The 20,840-nt window shown below is 39.1% G+C and overlaps 1 protein-coding gene across 10 annotated transcripts in view; it reads left to right on the top strand.

The window, feature by feature from the left end:
• The window catches only part of INIP (INTS3 and NABP interacting protein), a 34,192-nt gene that overhangs the window by 4,285 nt on the left and 9,067 nt on the right, over positions 1-20,840 (top strand). For 4 of the 10 annotated variants that reach the window (NR_138056.2, NM_001329589.2, NM_001329586.2 and 1 more), the window contains one exon: positions 19,600-19,702. The exons of 2 other annotated variants lie outside the window; for them this stretch is intronic. Coding sequence is in view for 6 of the 8 variants with exons in the window: in NM_001329586.2 (NP_001316515.1) it covers positions 19,600-19,702 (103 nt within the window). In the remaining 2 variants the exon portion in view is untranslated. Of the gene's footprint in view, positions 1-11,952; positions 12,046-16,250; positions 16,395-19,599; positions 19,703-20,840 lie in introns of all 10 variants that reach the window. 4 more of the 10 variants (NR_138055.2, NM_001329590.2, NM_001329588.2 and 1 more) reach the window with 2 other exon arrangements.

The raw sequence follows: 20,840 nt of genomic DNA, 5'->3' as shown, positions 1-20,840 counted from the left end.
TTTTTGTAGAAACGGGGTTTCACCATGTTAGCCAGTCTGGTCTCGAACTCCTGACCTCAGGTGATCCGCCTGCCTCGGCCTCCCAAAGTGCTGGAATTACAGGCATGAGCCACTGTGCCCGGCCTCAGATACCTTTTTTTTAAGAGACAGGGTCTTGTTCTGTTGCTCAGGCTGGGCTCTGAGGTGGATGAAGCTCACTGCAGCCTCAAACTCCTGGGCTCAAGTGATCCTCCCACCTCTACCTTCCAAAGTGGTGGGACTGCATGCATGCATCACCATGCCTGGCTAATGTTTTTATTTTTTGTAGAGAGAGGGTCTTGCTTTGTTGGCTGGGCTGGTCTTGAACTCCTGGCCTCAAGAAATCCTCCCACCTCGGCCTCCCAAAATGTTGGGATTACAGGCATGAGCCACCATGCTGGGCCACTTGTACCATTTTATTATTTTAGTATATGCGCTTCTGAAGAGAGCTCTCTTTGTACTGTTTTATATTCTCTCCAGCAATATGTGAATATTCTGGTTGATTCACATTTAGTGTTGTCAGTCGTTAATTTTAGCCATTCTAGAATGTATGAAGTAGTATCTCATTGTAGTATTAAAATGCATTTCCTTGATGACAAATGCTGAGCACTTTCGTTGTACTTATTGGCCATTGTAAATCTTCCTTTATGAAGTATTTGTTCAAATCTTTTACTCATTTTTTAAAAATTGGGTTATTTCTTTTATTAGCAAGTTGTTTTGTTTTCATTCTTCGGTCTGGATACAAGTCCTTTGTCAGATATGTTTTGCACGTATTTCCTCCCAGTCTCGCTTGCCTTTTCGTGTTCTTAATGGTGGTGTTCTTATCCTGTATGTAATGTGTTATTTTTCTCTGGCTGCTTTTAGGATTATCTCTTTGTATTTCAGTGGTCTGACTATGGTATGCCTAGAGGTGGTTTTCTTGTTTGGGGTTTGTTGAGCTTTTTGGATCTGTAGGTTGATGTCTTTCACTAAATTTGGGATGTTTCCATCCATTATTCAAATACTCCAAGGCTCTGCTTATTTTTCCTCAATATTTTTTTCTGTGTTTTTCTGATTGGATAATTTCTAATGCTCTAACTTTAATAACTTCTGCCATCTCCAATCTGCTGTTCATTCAATCCAGTGAACATTTTGTTTCAATTTACTTTTTAGCTCTAGAATTTCCACTTGGTCCTTTTCCATAGTTATACTTCTTTGCTAAAATACCCCTTTTATTTATTATGTCTTTTTCCCTTAAGTCTTTGAACATATTTATAATGGCTGATTTTAAATCCTTGACTGCTAATTATATCATTGGGGTTATCTTGGAGTTGGTTTTTGTTGACAGCATTTTGGTGCATATGCATCACGTTTTCCTTTTTCTTCTTATAAGTTGTGATTTGTTATTGGGTACTGGACATTGTGGAAACTCTGGATTCTGTTATATTCTTCTGAAATTGTGATTTTTGTTCTAGCAGACAGCTTGACTCAACTCATACTCAACTCCAAACTCTTGTCTCTCCTGTGTTGGGCAGAAATCTTGCAGTGTTTTTCAGCTTCCACCTGCTGCTTTATTGATGGGCTGCCTGGGATCTCCCCTGGATATGTGTAGTTCAGCAGTGAGTGAAACTTTGAGTGGATTTTATATGCATGAATTGGGCTTTATTCCTTCTGCCTCTCCCTCAAGCCTTGCCCCTAATTTTTTTGCTACTCTGTCAGCCCTAAACTTGAGTTCTCCTCTGACACCTCAAGCTAGTAAGGTGAGGCTAACCAAGCTGTTAGTGGATTGGGGAATGCTTCAGGCAAAAGGCCACAAGTTCCCAAATCTCACCAGTTGCAGTTTCTGCCTGATACTGGTCAGACTCCAGTGCCTTTAAGTAGTGAATTTTTAATATTTTAGTATTATATTTGTGGCAGGATTAGACCAACCAGACTACTCTGCCAGTACTGGAAATTGAAAGCTTGCTGATTCTGTTTTAGTTTATTAGTTATATTTAGGACAAACTAAAGGTTACATGAGTTTCGTAGAATTATAGTATTGTAAAAAGCAAGTTGTGGTGACAGCTTTCCCAGCAGTAACCAGCTAATACCATTCTGTTCTCCTCTCACATAGCCATGTGCGATTTGTGTGCTCTGTGGACTAATCATAGGTCCACATTCCCTTGTGGTTGTTGACCTCTTTATTTTTCCATTAAATTATAAGGGCCCATATTAAAAATAACTTAATTTGAGCTCAGATGAAAACTAAGAGAAGACTATTTTGGAAAGATAACATGCTGCTAAAAACCACACAATGCACTGCAAATGAAAATAAATTTTAAATTATCCCACTATTCGCACAGAGATTTACAATATGCTGGTTACTTTTTTCGTAGTTGTAGTAAAAACGCAATCATTTTTAGTATTGCCTTTGACTGACCCATAGTCAGATCCACTATGAAACATCCCCTAATCTAAATAGAAATGAATTTAGATTAGCCCTTTGGCTTCCGTTGCTCCTTTGTCAGGGATTTTTGTTGATGTCATGGAACTGCTGCTACTAGGAACCAGCAGAGGGAGTCCACATCATGTTCTAGAGACTCCCGGACTCCAGTGAAATTTTAAAATTCTTATTTATTCAGATCTATTGTATTTTTCTCTCTCTCTTTAATTTAATTTTTTTTTAAGAGGCAGGGTCTCGCTCTGTTGCCCAGGCTGGAGAGCAGTGTTGTGATTGTAGCTCCGTGCAGCCTCCAACTCCTGAGCTCAGCATCCCAAGTAGCTGAGACTATAGGCACATGCTACCACGCCTGGCTAATTTTTTTTCTTTTTTTTTTTCCTGTAGAAACAGGGTCTCGCTTTGTTGCCCAGGCTGGTCTTGAACTCCTGAACTCCTGTTCTCAAGCAGTTCTCTCACCTTGGCTTCCCAAAGCATTGGAATTACAAGTGTGAGCCACCATGCCCGGCTGTATTTTACTTTCTGTAGTAAATCATTTCTGTACTGTTTGTATGTATAAGAATTACTTAATATGGAGATTAATACCAAGGGCCTTAATTATCTTAAAATGATAACTGAAAGAACCATGATTTAAAAAAAATCTTTATGTGTTGTAATTTATTAATGTAAATAAATAGATTTTACTTATTATGTCTGGTGTAGAGAACAATTCCGTTGTGTTGGGGACTAAGCCCTCTTTCAGATCTAGCAGTCTTTCATGCCGTCATAGTAATCAGGACTGCTAAATTTCATACGCCCTTGACAGTCACTGCAGTCCCATGTTCTTCATACTGTCCAATGTAGTGTAGAACATTTGGTAGGCTTTCAATCATGAGAATTTTAGTATGCAGAGGCAGATTGTCAACCTGGGGTTTGGACAAGGTACCAAAAGCAGCACAGAGTCTTTCATTATTGGTAAATATCAAGGTCCTATGATGATGTGATGGCATTGGATTGGTTCAGCCTGATTTTAGAGAGACCTGGTGAAATACTGAGTAAGGAACATGAATTCTTTTATTTTTTTCAATTTTACAGATATCTGAAAATGCTTATAGTAGTAACTATAAGATCTGCAGATCAGGTAGTAGGAACTATTGATTTTGGGCCAGTCCAGGTGCTCTCAGCTGTGATTTCAGCATGCTGCATAGGAGTAGAATGGCAAGGCTCCTGGGAAGTGTCTTGTTTGACCTCAGACCCAAGTACAAGTCTTCACCTAAACCATATATGGTCCAGAAGGAAAGCAAGTTTATTCTTCACGTTTATACTAAAGTATGCCACCTCTCAATTAAGAGTTTGTCCCAGTGCAGTGATGCATAAATAGCATCTGAAAATTCTTCTATTTGTACCTTTTTAAAGATGAGAGTTTGTATGCAAAGACACAATTTGGAGTAGGTTTCTGAAGGCTAAATCTCTTTTTGTTGCATTTTAATTGCTATGGCAAAGAGAATGAATTAGATTTCTGATGCTAGGCTTGACCTGTAGGCTCCAGATTGAAATTGTAACTGGGAAGAATATTATGTAAAGTAATCTGAGACTGTTTGTGTAGTTAGGAGAGAGTATAGGATCCACACATGCACTCAGACTGGCCTGGGAGTTCTGAAATGTGAATGTAATTAGAAAGCTGCATGCCAATTAGTTGTGGCCTATCTAATGAAAAACTTCACTGACAGAGAATTGTCAATGTGGGATGACAGGAATCTAGTGATGTTAACCTGATGACTAGGGAGAAAGAATGCTAGATAATAATAACAATAATAGTGTGTATTTATTAAGCAACTACCATGTGGCAGGCAGTGTTCTAGGTCTTTTACTTATATTTTTCTGTATTTCCTGTAACCACCCTTTGAAGTGTTACTGTTATCCCCTTTGGTCCTGAGGCATGGTGAGGTAGTTTTCCTAATATTCAGTAGTAAGTGGTAGTGCTGAGGTGAGAACCCACGTTGATTCCATGTCCCACGTTCCTTATTCATTCTGTTTTCCCATACCGCCCTTCAGTAGGGGGAATTACAACATTCTGATGATAGATCTGATAGGAAACCACTGGGCGCTTGAGACAAGGGGCAAAAGACCTCTTCTTGATCTTTATTGGGATTAATCTAATCGTCTACATTGGTTATTAAGCAGAAAATGCTTTAAATGAAAAGGGCCTGTGAGTTTATATGTGAGAAGAAAAGAAAAATAAGTGGGGAAGAAAGGTTGATTCAAGCAGAAGATACATCATCATCTTACAAACCTCAATGGGTAGAAAAAGTGGCAGTAGTTTTAAAGAAGTAAGTCCTTAGGTCTAGGTGAAAGAGAATGTGAACACAGATCACCTGAGCAGACATTAGGGCTTGATTCCTTTTCTTTGTTACGTATTTTTGGTAAACTCTGAAAGGTGGCTAATGATTGAGTAATTTTTTAATCTTGCAAGATATAGGAAACATTCGTCATTAACTAGATTTAGGACAGAGCAAGAAAATGGATTCTTTCCTAGAATCCATTTAGAGACCCTGTCTTTGAAAAAAAAAAAAAGTTAATAAAAAAAATTAGCTGGGCATGGGGCTGAGGTGGGAGGATCGCTTGAGTATGGGAGGTTGAGGCTGCTGTGAGCCCTGATCATACCACCGCACTCTAGCCTGCACAACAGAGTGAGACCCTGTCTCAAAAAAAATAAAGAAAATGAATGCAGCCCTGTCAACATCTTGATTTTAGCCCAGTGAGACCTCTGACCTATAGATCCATAAGAAAATAGATTTGTGACGTTTTAAGCCACGAATTTTGGGTAATTTGTTACAGCAGCCATAGAAAACTAATGCATATTTAACTGCAAGAACCAAAAAAATCTAGGAACCCTCCATGACACCTTCTTCCTCATTCCTTCATATTGAATCCATCACTCTCCTCCTGATTTAACTTCCTAAATAGCTATTGGATCCGTTTGTATCTCTGCATTTCCATCCACTAAAAACTTTTATTATCTCTAGCTCTTTCTACTGTGATAGTTTCCTGACTATTTTCTCTTGTCTATTCTCAACATTGCAGTTAGAGTGATCTTTTTAAAGGGGGAAAGTTTATTTTGTTCCTCACCCCTACTTTTATGCCTTAGATTTCAGTTCAAGCATCACTTCCTTTGAAAGCCTTCTCTGACACTGCTCCCCCCGCTTTCACGCTAGGTCAAGTTTATTTAGCATTCATTCCTACAATAATGATTGTTATAAATGCTCATCAAATGGTTTCTTTATTTCAGACTACTCATGTTAGATTTTAATTACACATTCATTCATGTGATTATTTGATTGATCTCTATTTTCACTGGACAGTTTGAAAACCATGAAAGCTAGAATCATGTCAAGTTTTGCCTTATCATTGCATCCTTAGAACCTAACTTTGTGCCTGTATGTGATAGCATGAAAGACTGCTAGATCTGAAAGAGGGCTTAGTCCCCAACACAATAAATATTTGTTGAATCAATAAATAACTGAAAACATGTTAAACATGTTAATAGTGCCACAGTGACGTTGCTCTAGTACTAAACATAGGTGTCTCAACTATGGTACTTTAATGTACTATATAGTTGTGAAGAGTATATAGCTTGTAGGATAACCACTTGACAGGATTTAAGTAATCTTTTAAAAATTATTGTTATGAAAGTGTAGTAGATTGTCCATAACTGCATAATCAAAATAATTTTCACTTTTAGCTTTAGATTTTTTTTACAATAAGAAGAATTTCAGTTAGTCTTTAAGTGTGATAGAGCTGTTAAAGGAAAATGAGTATCAGCTCTTAGATTTTAAATGCAATCTGATGTAATGCTAGTTACTTGAGAATGTTTTTAGTGACAAAGAAATGTGCGGGAGGAAAAAAAAGAAATGTGCGGGAGGAAAAAAAAGAAACGTGTGGGAGTCAAAATGTTTCTATGAATGAATGAGAAAATGAGAACATACGTGATTATGAATGGAGATAGTGTTATAGTTCCAAAAGTGGAAATGTTTTTTCAAACAAAAACCAGGCAACAGAACAAGATCCTGTCTCTTAAAAAAAAAAAAAGTTTGAAACAGATTTTTTATTTGTTTTTTAAAAAGGTTAGTTATAAAGGGATATTAAACATGGCTTGGTTTAAAAAAAAAAAAAAAAAAAGAGGCCGGGCACAGTGGCTCATGCCTGTAATCCCAGCACTTTGGGAGGCCAAAGTGGGCGGATCACCTGAGGTCGGGAGTTCGAGACCGGCCTGACCAACATGGAGAAACCCCATCTCTACTAAAAATACAAAATTAGCCAGGCATGGTGGCTAATGCGTAATTATGCTGGCATGATTACGCATGCTTGCAATCCCAGCTACTCGGGAGGCTGAGGCAGGAGAATCGCTTGAACCTGGGAGGTGGAGGTTGTGGTGAGCCGAGATCACGCCATTGCACTCCAGCCTGGGCGACATGAGTGAAACTCCATCTCAAAAATAAATAAATAAATAAATAGTTTCTGCCAGGTTTGGTGGTTCACACTTGTAATCCTGGTACTTTGGGAGGCTGAGGTGGAAGGATCACTTGAGGCCATCAAGACCAGCCTGGGCAACACAGCAAGAACCCTGTTTCTATACTATTTTTAAAAATTAAAGTAATAGTTCTTACCGTACATGAGATAATATATTAAACATCTTTGTGCTTCTGAGACTAAAAAGAGATGCATTGAATTATATCAGGAGACTATATGGGTTAAAAAGAAACCCTCATGTAGTGAGTATAACATTGTTAAAAGTTATATATTGATGCCCTAGTTAGAGTAAGTTTGAACCCTGAAATTAAGAGAATCTTACCATAGAAAATTATGGGCTGGGTGTGGTGGCTCATGCCTGTAATCCCACTACTTTGGGAGTCTGAGGCAGGAGGATTGCTTGAAGCCAGGAGTTTAAGATGAGCCTGGGCAACATAGTGAGGCCCTGTCTCTACACAAAATTGAAAAAAAAAATTAGCCAGGTGTGCTAGTGCACACCTATAGTCTTAGCTGCTTTGGAGGCTGAGGCAGGAGGATCGCTTGAGCCCAGGGATTTGAGGCTTCAGTGAGCTCTATTTTTAGTTTTTTGAGGAACCTCCAAACTGTTCTCCATTGTGGTTGTATTAATTTACATTCCCACTAACAGTGTGCAAGGGTTCCCTTTTCTCCACATCCTTGCCAATGTTTGTTATTGCCTGACATTTGGATAAAAGCCATTTTGACTGAGGTGAGATGATATCTCACTGTAGTTTTGATTTGCATTTCTCTAATGATCAATGGCATTGAGCACCTTTTTCATATTGCATTATTTCTTGAACAAGTCTCTATCTCACTGCCTGTCTCCGATCCTGGATTAACTTTTCCCTGCGGCAGGTCTCTTCTACCCTGTAATCTATTCTCTCTTACCACCAGAGGGTGTTCGTAACCGTGCCAAGACTGATCTCTGCCTCGTCCTTTTCTAAATACTCTGAGTAGCTCCCCATTGCCTATTTGATCAAACTAAGAATCTACATGTAATACAAGGTCCCTAAATATATGGCTCCTTCTTAACCTTCCCAGCTGCTTCTTTCACTGCTTTTTCCACACATAATTTGGGCTAGAGTCACTTGTATTTATTTGCCAATTCCCAAGCATTCTGTTCCATTTCATTCTTTAATGTCTGAAGATATTTGGGGCATGGAGAAAAATACTCATCACTGCTCATAATTTAATACTCAGTTTAGTAAACCTACTTATCTAATACACTAAAGTTCTAAAATAAAATTTTTTTAAACATTTAGGCTGGGTGTGGTGGCTTATGCGTGTAATTCCAGCACTTTGGGAGGCCAAAGTGGGAGAATCACTTGAGCCCAGGAGTTTGAGACCAGCATGGGCAACACAAGGGGACCCCATTTGTATAAAAACTTTTAAAAATTAGTCAGGTATGGTGGCACATGCCTGTGGTCCCAGCTACTTGGGAGGCTGAAGCAGGAGGATGCCTTGAGCCGGGGATGTCAAGGCTACAGTGAGCCTTGATTATGCCACCTGCACTCCAGCCTGGGCAACAGAGCGAGACCTTGTCTCAAAAAAAATTTTTTTAAAAACATTTAGACATTGTTTATAAGCTTATTTAGTTAAATTATGTTTAATACCAGTTTAAGTTACAATTATAATTAATTATACTGTCTGTTAAACTTCACTTTATATAGTGGTCAAAAATTTACTTAAATGTATTTTAAAATATTAACCTGTTGGTTTAATTTATTCATTCTATACTTTTTTTTTTTTTTTTTTTTTTTTGAGACAGGGTCTCACTCTGTTACCCAGGGTGGAATGCAATGGCACAGTCATGGCTCACTGCAGCTTTGACCTCCCAGGTTCAAGCCATCCTCCTGCCTAAGCCTCCTGAGTAACTGGGACCACAAGTGTGCACCACCACATCCAGCTAATTTTTCTTATTTTTAGTAGAAACGAGGTCTCACTATGTTGCCCAGGCTGGTCTTGAATTCCTGGGCTCAAGTGAACCTCCTGCCTTGGCCTCCCAAGGTGCTGGGATTATAGGCATGAACCACTGCATTCAGCTGATATATTTGCATTTTTATATTTCCCTAGAGTTATAATACTCTTCCAGATTTCTATTTCTATACTTTCCAGAATTATAGTAATTTTTCTATACCTTTGTAGGTTACAGTAATCTTACCACTACCAAAACAAAGCAAAATTTCAAATTACTGAGAGTTCAGAGTTGTTGATGGATTTGATTCTTAATTAAAACACAAGGTTTGGTTATGCCTAAAGCTTACCCAAACTGTGTTGATGGGCAACCTAAAGTGTTGGTGTGCATTAGTTCCCCTCTATAATTGAATGTTACCTGCTCAGGAGGATTTTTTTTTAAGTTCATGCCTTTCTCATAGACTGTTAGTTTCTTGCAGCCTAGAGTTATTCCATTAATTGAAATATTCTTTATTTTTTGTGTGATCAGTGTTTCATAGCTCAGTGCTCTGTTGTCATTATAACTTGCCCTTTTCTGGTAGCAGTGGTGCTAGGAATTATAGATGTTTCCTTTCCTGAGCAATCAGGGTTCCGGTCTGTACTGTGAGCTCTCTAGGATATTGGACTAATTCACCGTTTTAGAACTCACAATGTCTACTCGGTCATTGTGTGTGATCAAACTCATCAGCCACTGCGTCTTCTTTAAAAATACATATTGCTGTATGTGTTAGGGCCTGTGCTGATCTGAATTTCTTGTTTTTGGTATGTGACCTACTTTTTTTGGAACTGTTTGGCTTAGTCGCACACAATTCTTTGTAACTACCCTACCCTCCTTGTACTGAAACAAAAAAGTATACGGCTATACTTCATAAATAGACATATACTTAACAGGAGAAACAAAACACCTAAGTATTAACACCAACCTAGTTATTAATATAATAAGACATTGGATACCCTATTATTTTCACCCTTTTTTACAACTATCTTTTTATGTATCTTAGCTTTCCCTTTTGCATCTCATTATGAATTCATGGCTTATCACAGACTTAATTTATTCCACTTAGCTGTAATTATTATTCTCTTTCTAATGTTCAAATTGTGACAGCCTGGCTAACCTCAAACTGGCTTCTTTGTCCTTTTAGCACTTACCCTTGGACGTTTTTTAAAAATTCTTCTCGGCTGGGCACAGTGGCTCACGCCTGTAATCCCAGCATTTGGGAGGCTGAGGTGGAAGGATTACTTGAGACCAGGAGTTCAGGATCTTGTCAGAAGCAAGATAGTCCAATCGATTTTGATATTTTTTTCCTGCCCTAAGACATGGAACTAGTACTCTCCCTTGTTGTTGTTGTTTTGTTTTGTTTTTAAAGAGACAGGGTCTCACTGTGTTGCCCAGGCTGGTCTCAAATTCCTGGCCTCAAATGATCCTCCCACTTCAGCCTCCGAAAGTGCTGGTATTACACATGTGAGCCACCATGTCTGGCCTCTGGTTCCTTCTTAATGGAGAATAGTATTAGAGACCAAAATCTGTTCAACATGGAGTTGAGGATAAGGAGGGAGGCATTTTTGCTGGCCACTGTAGTGACAGAGCAGGAGACCATGTTTCTCTTAGAGCATATGTTAATAATGTCAGTCCAGTTTAACATTACTAAATCTTTTTCTATCTCACCATTTTTCTTTATTATAAGGTTGCATTGACCATGAACACTATCATATTGGCATATAACTTTCTGTATGAAGATCCCTCTGCCATGGAATGCTTCCTCTCACCCCTTTTCACTAGTTGGCAAAGTTCTTGGCCAAGTAAAATGAGAGGAGGAGGGGGTAGAATGAATTTCATTTAAAGCTCAACCTAGTTCAGAAATGTTAAACAAAACCAGAGCAATTGAATATTCTTCTGATATCTTGCAGTATTTTTGTTGAATTCATTTTCTTCCACTAAAAAAAAAAATTCATACAAACAATATTGAATCAAGCTATCCTGTCAGCTTGGTGTTATATTTGAAAATCATTTGTCAAATTATATTTACATCATACTCTTAGCATTTATAAATTTTTCATCCGGGGACAGTGTCTCATGCCTGTAATCCCAGCACTTTGGGAGGCTGAGGTGGGCAGATCACAAGGTCAAGAGATCAAGACCATCCTGGCCAACATGTTGAAACTCCGTTTCTATTAAAAATACAAAAATTAGCCAGGTGTGGTGGCACGTGCCTGTAGTCCCAGCTACTTGGGAGGCTGAGGCAGGAGAATCGCTTGAACCTGGGAGGCAGAGGTTGCAATGAGCTGAGATCGTGCCACTGCACTCCAGCCTGGCGACAGAGCGAGACTCCGTCTAAAAAAAATAAATAAATAATAAAAAAATTCTTACATTACTTGGAACATGAGCGTTTTGCACAACTTTTCTCTTTCCCATGCCACCCTCACTCTCATGTACTTTGAAAACAAAAATATTCTTGTGCGATTGTAATTTTCAATATTACTAATCAGACTGTACACTTTAAAAAATAATTTATAGAAGTTTATGTATGTTGAAGGGCATTGAAAAACTCAGTTGTGCTCCTAGTCATATGAACATTATTGATCAGATTATCTTTATAGGCTTTTTAATGCTTTTTCCATTGTTGGCTGTACTTCATATAATTTTTATATATGTATAATTACTGACAGTGACCCCAAAATATTTTTGTGTGAACAAGTTAATCTTGAGGGAAATTGATACTGCTGCAAACAACAGATCAGGATTTTCCAATGTGGCCATTTACTTTGCTCATGACAAAATTTAGACATTATCAGAGTTTAAAATTTGCTTTTCAAGAATTATGTGTGTGTGTGTGTGTATGTGTATATATATATTTTTGAGACAGTTTCACTCTGTTGCCCAGGCTGTAGTGCAGTGGCACAGTCCAGTCATGGCTAACTGCACCTTGAACTCCTAGATTCAAGCAATCCTCCTGCCTCATCCTCCCAAGTAGTTGGGACTGTAGGCACACACCATCATGCCCTGCTAAATTAAAAAAATTTTTTTTTTTTTTGTACAGACAAGGTCTCGCTGTGTTGCCCAGGCTGATCTTGAACTCCTGGCCTCAGGTGATCCTCCTGCCTCAACTTCCCAAAGCACTAGGATTACAAATGTGAGCCACCTGGCCCTATTTTATATTTATAGTATCTCTTAATCGCTAAAAAGATGGAACCACATAATTATCTTCTAAAAATGTAGTAGCCTCCACTGAGAAAAACAAGTCTTGTCCTTTAGTTGACAATAAGCATGTGCAATTTGTATATATACAAATGGGAGAGTGCCAATTTCCCTTGGAAAACATTCTTCACTTTACAAAGAACTCACCTTTGGATTCCTCTAAATGAGACATTCCAGTATACTTAAACACGTCTTCCCATAATTATCTTACCTTAATTCGTATTATGTAACTTTTAGGGAAACGTCTGTTGTATAAAATCAATAATACCTGTATTTACACCTTTCCATCTGATTCATTGTAAGAGCATGATTTGTTTGCTTATTTGGGTAACAGGCTCACTGTGAAGTAGTAAATAGAGCAATATATGAGAACAACATAACTCTCCTTAGTGGACTGCTTTTATTTTTGTTTTTTGAGACAGAGTTTTGCCTTGTTGCCCAGGCTGGAGTGCAGTGGCACGATCTTGGCTTCACTGCAACCTCCACCTCCCAGTTCAAGCAATTCTTATGCCTCAGCCTCCTGAGTACCTGGAATTACAGGTGCCTGCCACCACACCTGACTGATTTTTTGTGTTTTAGTAGAGACGGGGTTTCATCATGTTGCCCAGGCTGGTCTCGAACTGCCCATCTCAGCCTCCCAAAGTGCTAGGATTACAGGCATGAGCCACCGTTCCTGGCCAGTGGGCTGCTTTTATAACCATATTAATATATAGTTGACTAACAGTCAAAGGAAATTTTATATATATATATCTGTTTTCTGTTTTTTCTTTTTGAGACAGGGTCTCTCTCTTTTGCGCAGGTTGGAATGCAGTGGTGCAAAAATAGCTCACTGCATAGCTCACCACTCTTGGCCAGGAACTATATTAATGTTAGTTTGGAGCCTATAGTTACAGATTTCCACCTTTGATTTCCATGGAAACAGGGAGGTTACTATACCTACCTATGCTCTGATTGTCAAACATGCATGAAGTTTTTGAAAGTGAGGCTCTTCCTTCTTGACCAAGCCAATCAAGACATACAAGTATGTAATTTTTTAAAAAGTTGATGAATCTTATAAAATTGTTTTTGTAGGTAGAAAATCGTCAAATATAGGCAGTTTTAACTTAATGCCTAAAAATTGTAGTAGTTATGTTTATATAATATTCTTTATATTATATATTATATAATATAATTAGGTATATATAATATATATATATATTATATATACCTAATTTATAAGTCTTTTTGGAGATGGCCCTGATAAAATGGGAGAGAAATTGTCATTCAGTTGCTTGGGTAGTGGTTGAAGAAAAGATCTAAAGCTGTGGTTTGTGAACTATACACCATGGCATCCTAGCACCCCATGGAAAAATCCCAGGGGCCTCATGGAAAATTGTTTTGAAAGCAAACACAGAACTACCTATACTAGTTGGACACCACATGAAGTAGTTTGAGATAGTTCACAGTTTCAACAGTGCACTCCATTCCTTTCAATGACATCATATCTTTGCAAAGTTAGGTTTTTAGCAATTGCTTTGATAACCAACAACTACTGTGTGAAAATCAGTGTGGAACAGGGAATGAGGATTGGTGGTGTCTGAACTGATTCCAAGGTTTGAAAAGTGATACATAGCCCAGGCACACATCCATTAGTAAGTAATTAATTGTGGTTATTTAAAAATGAAATTAAATATTTTTTATTTCATGTTATGTGTATTATTTTTTAAAACAACTACAAGATGTAAGGACACAAATACTTACTAGGTTGTTTGGACCTGACTACTTACTAAACAGAATGGTTATGTATTTGTTGGCCTGGGGTGTCATGCAAACATTGCTGAGATACTAAGGGCACACTGTGAACCAAGAAATTATGAGAACCTCTGGCTTAAAGTAATTAGACTACCCCATCAGAATTCACATAGCTGACCAAGTCATTGATACCAAGTGGAAAGGTACATTCAACTGAAATTTCTCATGGATAGCGTTTTTAGAGTTGCCACCCCATTCTGCTTGTTTAATATTATGTGACAAACATCTGTACAGTAATCCTCCCTTACCCAGGAGGAATATGTTCCAAAAACCCCAGTAGATGCCTGAAATCACAGATGGTACTGAATTCTTTATATACTCTATTTTTTCCTATACATACATACCTACGATAAAGTTTAATTTATAAATTAGACACAGTAAGAGATTAACAACAATAATAATACAATTAACAATTATAACAATATACTGCAATGAAAGTTGTGTGAATGTGGTCTCTCTCTCTCTCTGAATATCTTATTGTACTACCTTGGCCTATTTTTGTACTGTGGTTGACCACAGGTAGCTGAAACCGCGAATATGGGGTGACTACTATACGTTTTAAATTCTGATTACTACTAAAGAGAAAGAATCTTTTTTAAAATTTTGTTATTTTTTTTTTTAGAGACAGGGTCTTGCTCTGCCGCACAGGCCAGAGTGCAGTGGCCCATCATAGCTCATTCCACTGAGCCCAAGTGATCCTCCTGCCTCAGCCTCCTGAGTCACTGGGACTACAGGCATGTAGCACCACACCTAACTGGAAAAAAAAAATTTTTTTTTTAAGAGATAGGGTCTTGCTATGTTGCCCAGGCTGATCTCAAACTCCTGTCCTCAAGTGATCCTCCTGCCTCGACCTCCCAAAGTGCTGAGATTACAGGTGTGAACCACTGAACCTGGCCCGTTTTTAAATAAAAATAATAATGCAAATAAGAAATAATTTCCTAAAAGATGTCTCAGGTATTAAGACACCTAGAAATTCAGAAAATCAATGAAAATAATTCTGTAGCCTGGAATTCAAACATTATTGAAGTCTGAAGAACAATTCCCTTCTCTACGTCTGTATCTGGAGGGAAAGAAGGCTATTATATGAGAGTCACTGTGGTGTTCTAAAATATGAGAAAGAGACAGACCATTTTTCTGCTCCTTAAGATAGTTATCTGACCAGCTTTGTTAAAACTGGGAATCTAAGGATCTCTTAACTCCATTTTGGTTTGAAGAAAGATATTAATATTGAAATACATAGTTGCACACCAAATGGCAGTGGGGTCAGGGTTGGGGTACACTTTTATATCTGCTCTCATTTTTCCATCCCTGCCAGATAGTTGTTATTTCTGATTCTAATTGTTACTTCTGATTCTCTAAATCAGTGGACTTGTAATTATATATTGCTTTGCTAATTATGTTTCCTTAACATTATTTTGACAAAGTTTCAGTTATTATTTACATATGGCTCCTTTTACCATCAGATTGCCATACACAGGCATAAATGTCACAAATATTAAGATAGTTGAAGTTTTCAGAGCGGCAGACATTTGGGGAAAATTATGGAACCTTCATGTGTTGGAGCTGGAAAGAGCCTTTCAGTCAGGACTACTTTAATCATTTCTTTTTTTTTTTTTTTTTTTTTTTTTGAGACAGAGTCTCGCTCTGTCACCCAGGCTGAAGTGCAGTGGCATAATCTTGGCTCACTGCAACCTCCGCCTCCAAGGTTCAAGCAATTCTCCTGCCTCAGTCTCCCGACTAGCTGGGACTACAGGCACGCGCCACCACGCCCAGCTAATTTTTTGTGTTTTTAGTAGAGATGGGGTTTCACTGTGTTGGCCAGGGTGGCCTCAATCTCCTGACCTCATGAGCCACCCACCTCAGCCTCCCAAAGTGCTGGGATTACAGGCGTGAGCCACCGCGCCCAGCCTACTTTAATCATTTCATTTAACATGAATTAATTTGCCTGTTTTGGGATACTTTAAGCAAACTGCCCTAAGCAAATAACAACTGTTTATGGAAGGATTTCCATAGGTAATGATGTTTTCATAACTCTGATATGAGACTGGGAGGTATTTTTCATTGATTCAAACTTTAGTATTTCCTACTTCTGTTCTGCCTCATTTCTTCTTACTGAATCCTAAATTGAGATAGAAGAATACCTTCTTACTTTCCTTTCAGAAATAACCAATTGTGTAAGTAATACATTCTTGGAATTTGGTTGTTGTGATACCATGATATAATAAGAAACATATTTGGTCATTGACCATGGTTCCTAACATAGAGCTCCTAAAACTCTTATAATTTCCTGAGCAGTAGGGGTACTAGGAGAATGTTTTGTTCTGATATTTGGTTTTGTTTTGTTTTAAGTGACAGGGTCTTGCTCTGTTGACCAGGCTGGAGTGTTAAAGGCACGATCATGGCTCACGGCAGCCTCTACTTCATGGGCTCAAGCGATCCTCCTGCCTCAGCCTCCCAAGTAGCTAGCCTACAGGCACATGCCACCAAGCCTGGGTAATTTCAATTTTTTGTAGACATAAGGTCTTGAATAACCATTCTGTTTAGTACATAGTCAGGTCCAAACAACCTAGTAAGTATTTATGTCCTAACATCTTGTAGTTGTTTTAAGTTGCCCAGGCTAGTCTTGAACTCCTGGCCTCAAGTGGTCCTCCCACTTTGGCCTCCCAAAATGCTGGGATTACAGGTATGAGCCACCAGCCTTGCTCTGATATTTGTCCTTGAACCCCATTTCCTAACACAGAGCTCTGAAGACCTTTGTGATTTCCTGGGTGATGGGAGCATCTTTTGTTCAATGTGATGACTCTTTATGGGCCCTGGATGGAGGCTGGTTGCCAGGGAAACCAACCCTATAATTTGAGGGTTGGAACTTTCAGTCCCACCTACTGACCTCCGGGGAAAGGAGAGGGACTGAGGTGGAGCTGATCACAAATGGCCAATGATTTAATCAATCATGCCTATGTAATGGAGCCTCCAGAAAACCCCAAAAGGACAAGGTTCAGATGAGCTTCTGGATAGCTGAATGTGTGAAGGTGCTTGAAAGATGGTGTGCCGGAGAGAGTGTTAAAGCTCCATGTCCCTTCCCACGTGCCTGGCCCGATGCATCTCTTCATCTGGCTATTCATGTCTAACCTTTGTAATACCCTTTATTAATAAACTAGTGAATGTAAGTAAAGTATTTCCCTGAGTTCTGTAAGCCACTCTAGCAAATTAACCAAATCCAAGGAGTGAGTCATGGGGGCCCCCGGTTTACAGCCAGTCAGTCAGAGGCATAGGTGACAACCTACTGCCTACTTGCCATTGGCGTCTGAAGTGGCGAGCAGTCTTGTAGAACTGAGCCTCAGCTTGTGGGGCCCCACACTATCTCCAGGTAGATAGTATCAGAATTGAATTATAGGACACTCAGCTGGTGTCCACTGAAGAATTGCTTGGTGTTAGAAGTTTTGTGTTGAATGAGAGTAGAGAATAGTTTGTTTTTTCCAAAAACAGTTTGGTTTTTCCTCTGTCTCTCAAAGCTGTATTAAATCTTTCCTTGAGTAGAAGACTTCTCTCGAGACAGGCGTATCCATAAGACTGGGTGGAGCCAGTCATGACGTGCAGCATGGAAAGGCCCCACAGAGCTTCTTCCACCGGAAGATTAAGCTCTAAGAGATCAGGCAGGAAAAAGGGATTGGAGTTAGGATGAGAGTAAATGATCAATACCCTGGAAGGCTTAGAAAACTCTCTTCAGAAAGACCACAATGGGCTTAGCTCAGTTGCTCACACCTGCAGTCCTAGCACTTTGTGAGACTAAGGTGGGAGGATCGCTTGAGCCCAGGAGTTCAAGACCAGCCTGGGCAACATGGTGAAATCCTGTCTCTACAAAAAAAAAATACAAAAATTAGTAGGGCATGCTGGCTCACACCTGTAGTCTTAGCAACTTGGGAGACTGAGGCAGGAGGATCGCTCGAGCCCAGGAGTTTGAGGCTGCAGTGAGATATGATCACACCACTGCACTCCAGTCTGGGCTACAGAACAATACCCTGGCTTAATACATTCTGGCATGTCTTCTTCTTCTCCTTCTTCTTCTCCTTCTTCTTCTCCTTCTTCTTCTCCTTCTTCTCCTTCTTCTTCTCCTTCTTCTTCTCCTCCTCCTCCTCCCCCTCCCCCTCCCCCTCCTCCTCTCCCTTCCTCCTACTCCTCCTCTTCCTCCTCTTCTTCCTCTTCTTCTTTTTTAATGAATTATCTTATCCAAATAGAGGGAGTCTGCTATTACTAGAGTTTGATGACATAGCATGGGTGGGCAGAGAGGGGAAAATGGGAGATGATAGAAATGAATGTGCCAGAGGTTTATTTTGCCCAGAATCCTGGCCACAGACAGTATGCTAATGCCTGATTGAAGAACAGATTTAGCTGAAAACACTGCAAAAGGAGTATGAATACTCCTTCTACAGCCTACACCATCCCTAGCTAGTCTCTGCTCCTCTCCCAAGGAGAGGAAAAAGTTTGCATCCTACCACCTAATTCTTCCTGTTTATAATCAGTATAAAATTCTTAGACTCCTTCATGTGGGTACCCTTAGGAGTGCCTAGGTCTGCTCTGCTTGGAAAATGTGCTTTCCTCCCATATTCATTCTTCTGGCCTAATGATTCCAGTCTCCTGAGCCATCATCGTCCTTATCTTTTTTTTTTTTTTTTTTTCTGTAGTTCTGTTTTCCAGTCCTTTAATCTTTCTTTTTGTTTTTCTAAATTAGGGATCAGAAACTCAAATTCTTACAGATAATGTAAACAAGGTGATAAGGATTGTAATGAGCTGGAGAGTGCCCAGCTAAAGGGGACAACTATTTCTTAGTTCTGGTGAATTGTTGCCGTGGGGGCATATAGATCACTTGTTGCCAGATCTTGAGATATATTTCAAGAGAAGCTAGGAATCTGAGAAATTAGTGTACAGTTTCTCAATGTTTACATGTTAGTATTTAATTCTGATTTTTAAAACATAGCTAGGAGTTGCTACTGGGCCATAACTTGGCAACCTCTACCCTATATCTTACGTAAGTTTGAAGCTGAAAATCCAGCCCAGTATTAAGTATTTGACAAAGGCCATATCTCTTTGTATCCTGTCAGTTACGCTCCATTTCTTTCTCAGAATTGCTTTCTGGTCAGTTGAAATTCTTTGACATGTTCCTTGAAAAATTATCCAACATATCTGAATGGAAGCAGTTGAGAAGAAGAAATATTTTGATCTGAGTATGTTTACTGCTTTTTCCCCCCATGAAAAAGGCATGCAGAAAGAGGCTTCAAATAGAAGACTAAGAACATCTGCCCTCCCAAAGATTGACTCGGCAGGATAGAGACTGCACAGGCCCCTGCAGCATTTGGGTCCTCAAAGATTTTGTTAAAAAACAAATGCTGTAACTTATACCTTGGTGATTAAAATTCTGTAGAACTAAGTCTTAAAAGTCCTCAGCTACACTTTAAATATAATATGATTTGATATTATATTCTGCTTAAGTATTCATGAATTATGCTGTTAAAGTTACTGGGAAGTAGGAGGGAAGAAGTAACCATTTAGGGAAAGTACTTACTGGTGAATTCATTATCATGTTAGAGAATAGGAGTTTTGCTTTCTTGGTTCTAGATGACTTAGGTTATAAAAATAGGTCTAAAATGTTTCTGATTACTCTCTCTTTCTCCCTTTTCTCCTATTCCCCTCTTTTTTTTAGGTTTTCAAAACAAAAATAGAGTTGCAATCTTGGCAGAACTGGACAAAGAGAAAAGAAAACTACTTATGCAGAACCAGTCTTCAACAAATCATCCTGGAGCTAGGTATTGACACTATAATGTGGGTTTTTTGTTTGTTTTGTTTTGTTTTGTTTTGTTTTGAGACGGAGTCTCGCCCTGTCCCCCAGGCTGGAGTGCAATGGTGCAATCTCGGCTCACTGCAGCCTCCGCCTCCCGGGTTCTAGCGATTCTCCTGCCTCAGCCTCCCGAGTAGCTGGGATTACAGGCACCTGCCACGACACCCAGCAAATTTTTGTATTTTTAGTAGAGATGGGGTTTCACCATGTTGGTTAGGCTGGTCTTGAACTCCTGACCTCAGGTGATCCACCCGCCTTGGTCTCCCAAAGTGCTGGGATTACAGGCGTGACCCACCGTGCCTGGCCTGTAATGTGGTTTTTATATTCAGTGATATAAAAATTTCTTGGACCAAATAATTCAAGTTGGCTGGCAATGATTTTTTTCTTTAACACTGCAATCTATTCATTGTGTTTTCTTTGTATAGGGGAGGCTAAACTTTACCTGTGCCCAACTTAGTTCTTATTGGGAGGGACCTCTGTAACAAAAGACAGATTAACAAGAGAAAAACAAATTTATGAGTGCATGCAGCACACATCACAAGGGAGAAACCTTATAACTCAAAATCATGGCTTAGAACTCTACTTATATAGCATCTTCAACAAAGAACAATAAATGTGGAACAAACAAAAGGGATTTTAGGCTTCTTGGGGTGGGAAACTGAGAAGGTAAATATATGGAGAAAACGAATGGAGTAAGGCTTGTTGGCAGAGTCCTCTGCTGCTGTCCCTAGGCTAAGAGTCTAGAGTTGTCTCCAGTAGAGGAGAAGTTCTATCCTATCTTTAGGCAGAAAGTGGGGAGGGGAGAGAGAGAGCTTTTCCTCAGTTTGCTGCTGCCTTTTATTTTTATTTTTAAGCAACCCTATTAACTGAGCTGCTTCTTAATTGCTTTCAGCTCAAAAATAATTTTTATATCAAAGAAGCATATTTTAGGTGACATATTCTAGTTCCCTTCATTTCCTAGTCAGACTTTTAACAAACTGTTTAGTTGATTAAATTGTAAACATTCTAACTAGAATATTTAATTTTCCCTATAGACTTCATAGCCTTCAGACTTTTTTTTTTTTTTTTTTGAGACAGGGTCTAACTCTGTCACCTAGAGTGGAGTG

The sequence above is a fragment of the Homo sapiens genome, chromosome 9 (assembly GCF_000001405.40).
Source record: "Homo sapiens chromosome 9, GRCh38.p14 Primary Assembly".
Taxonomy (NCBI): Eukaryota; Metazoa; Chordata; class Mammalia; order Primates; family Hominidae; genus Homo; species Homo sapiens.
This window is presented reverse-complemented; position numbering and strand designations above follow the sequence as displayed.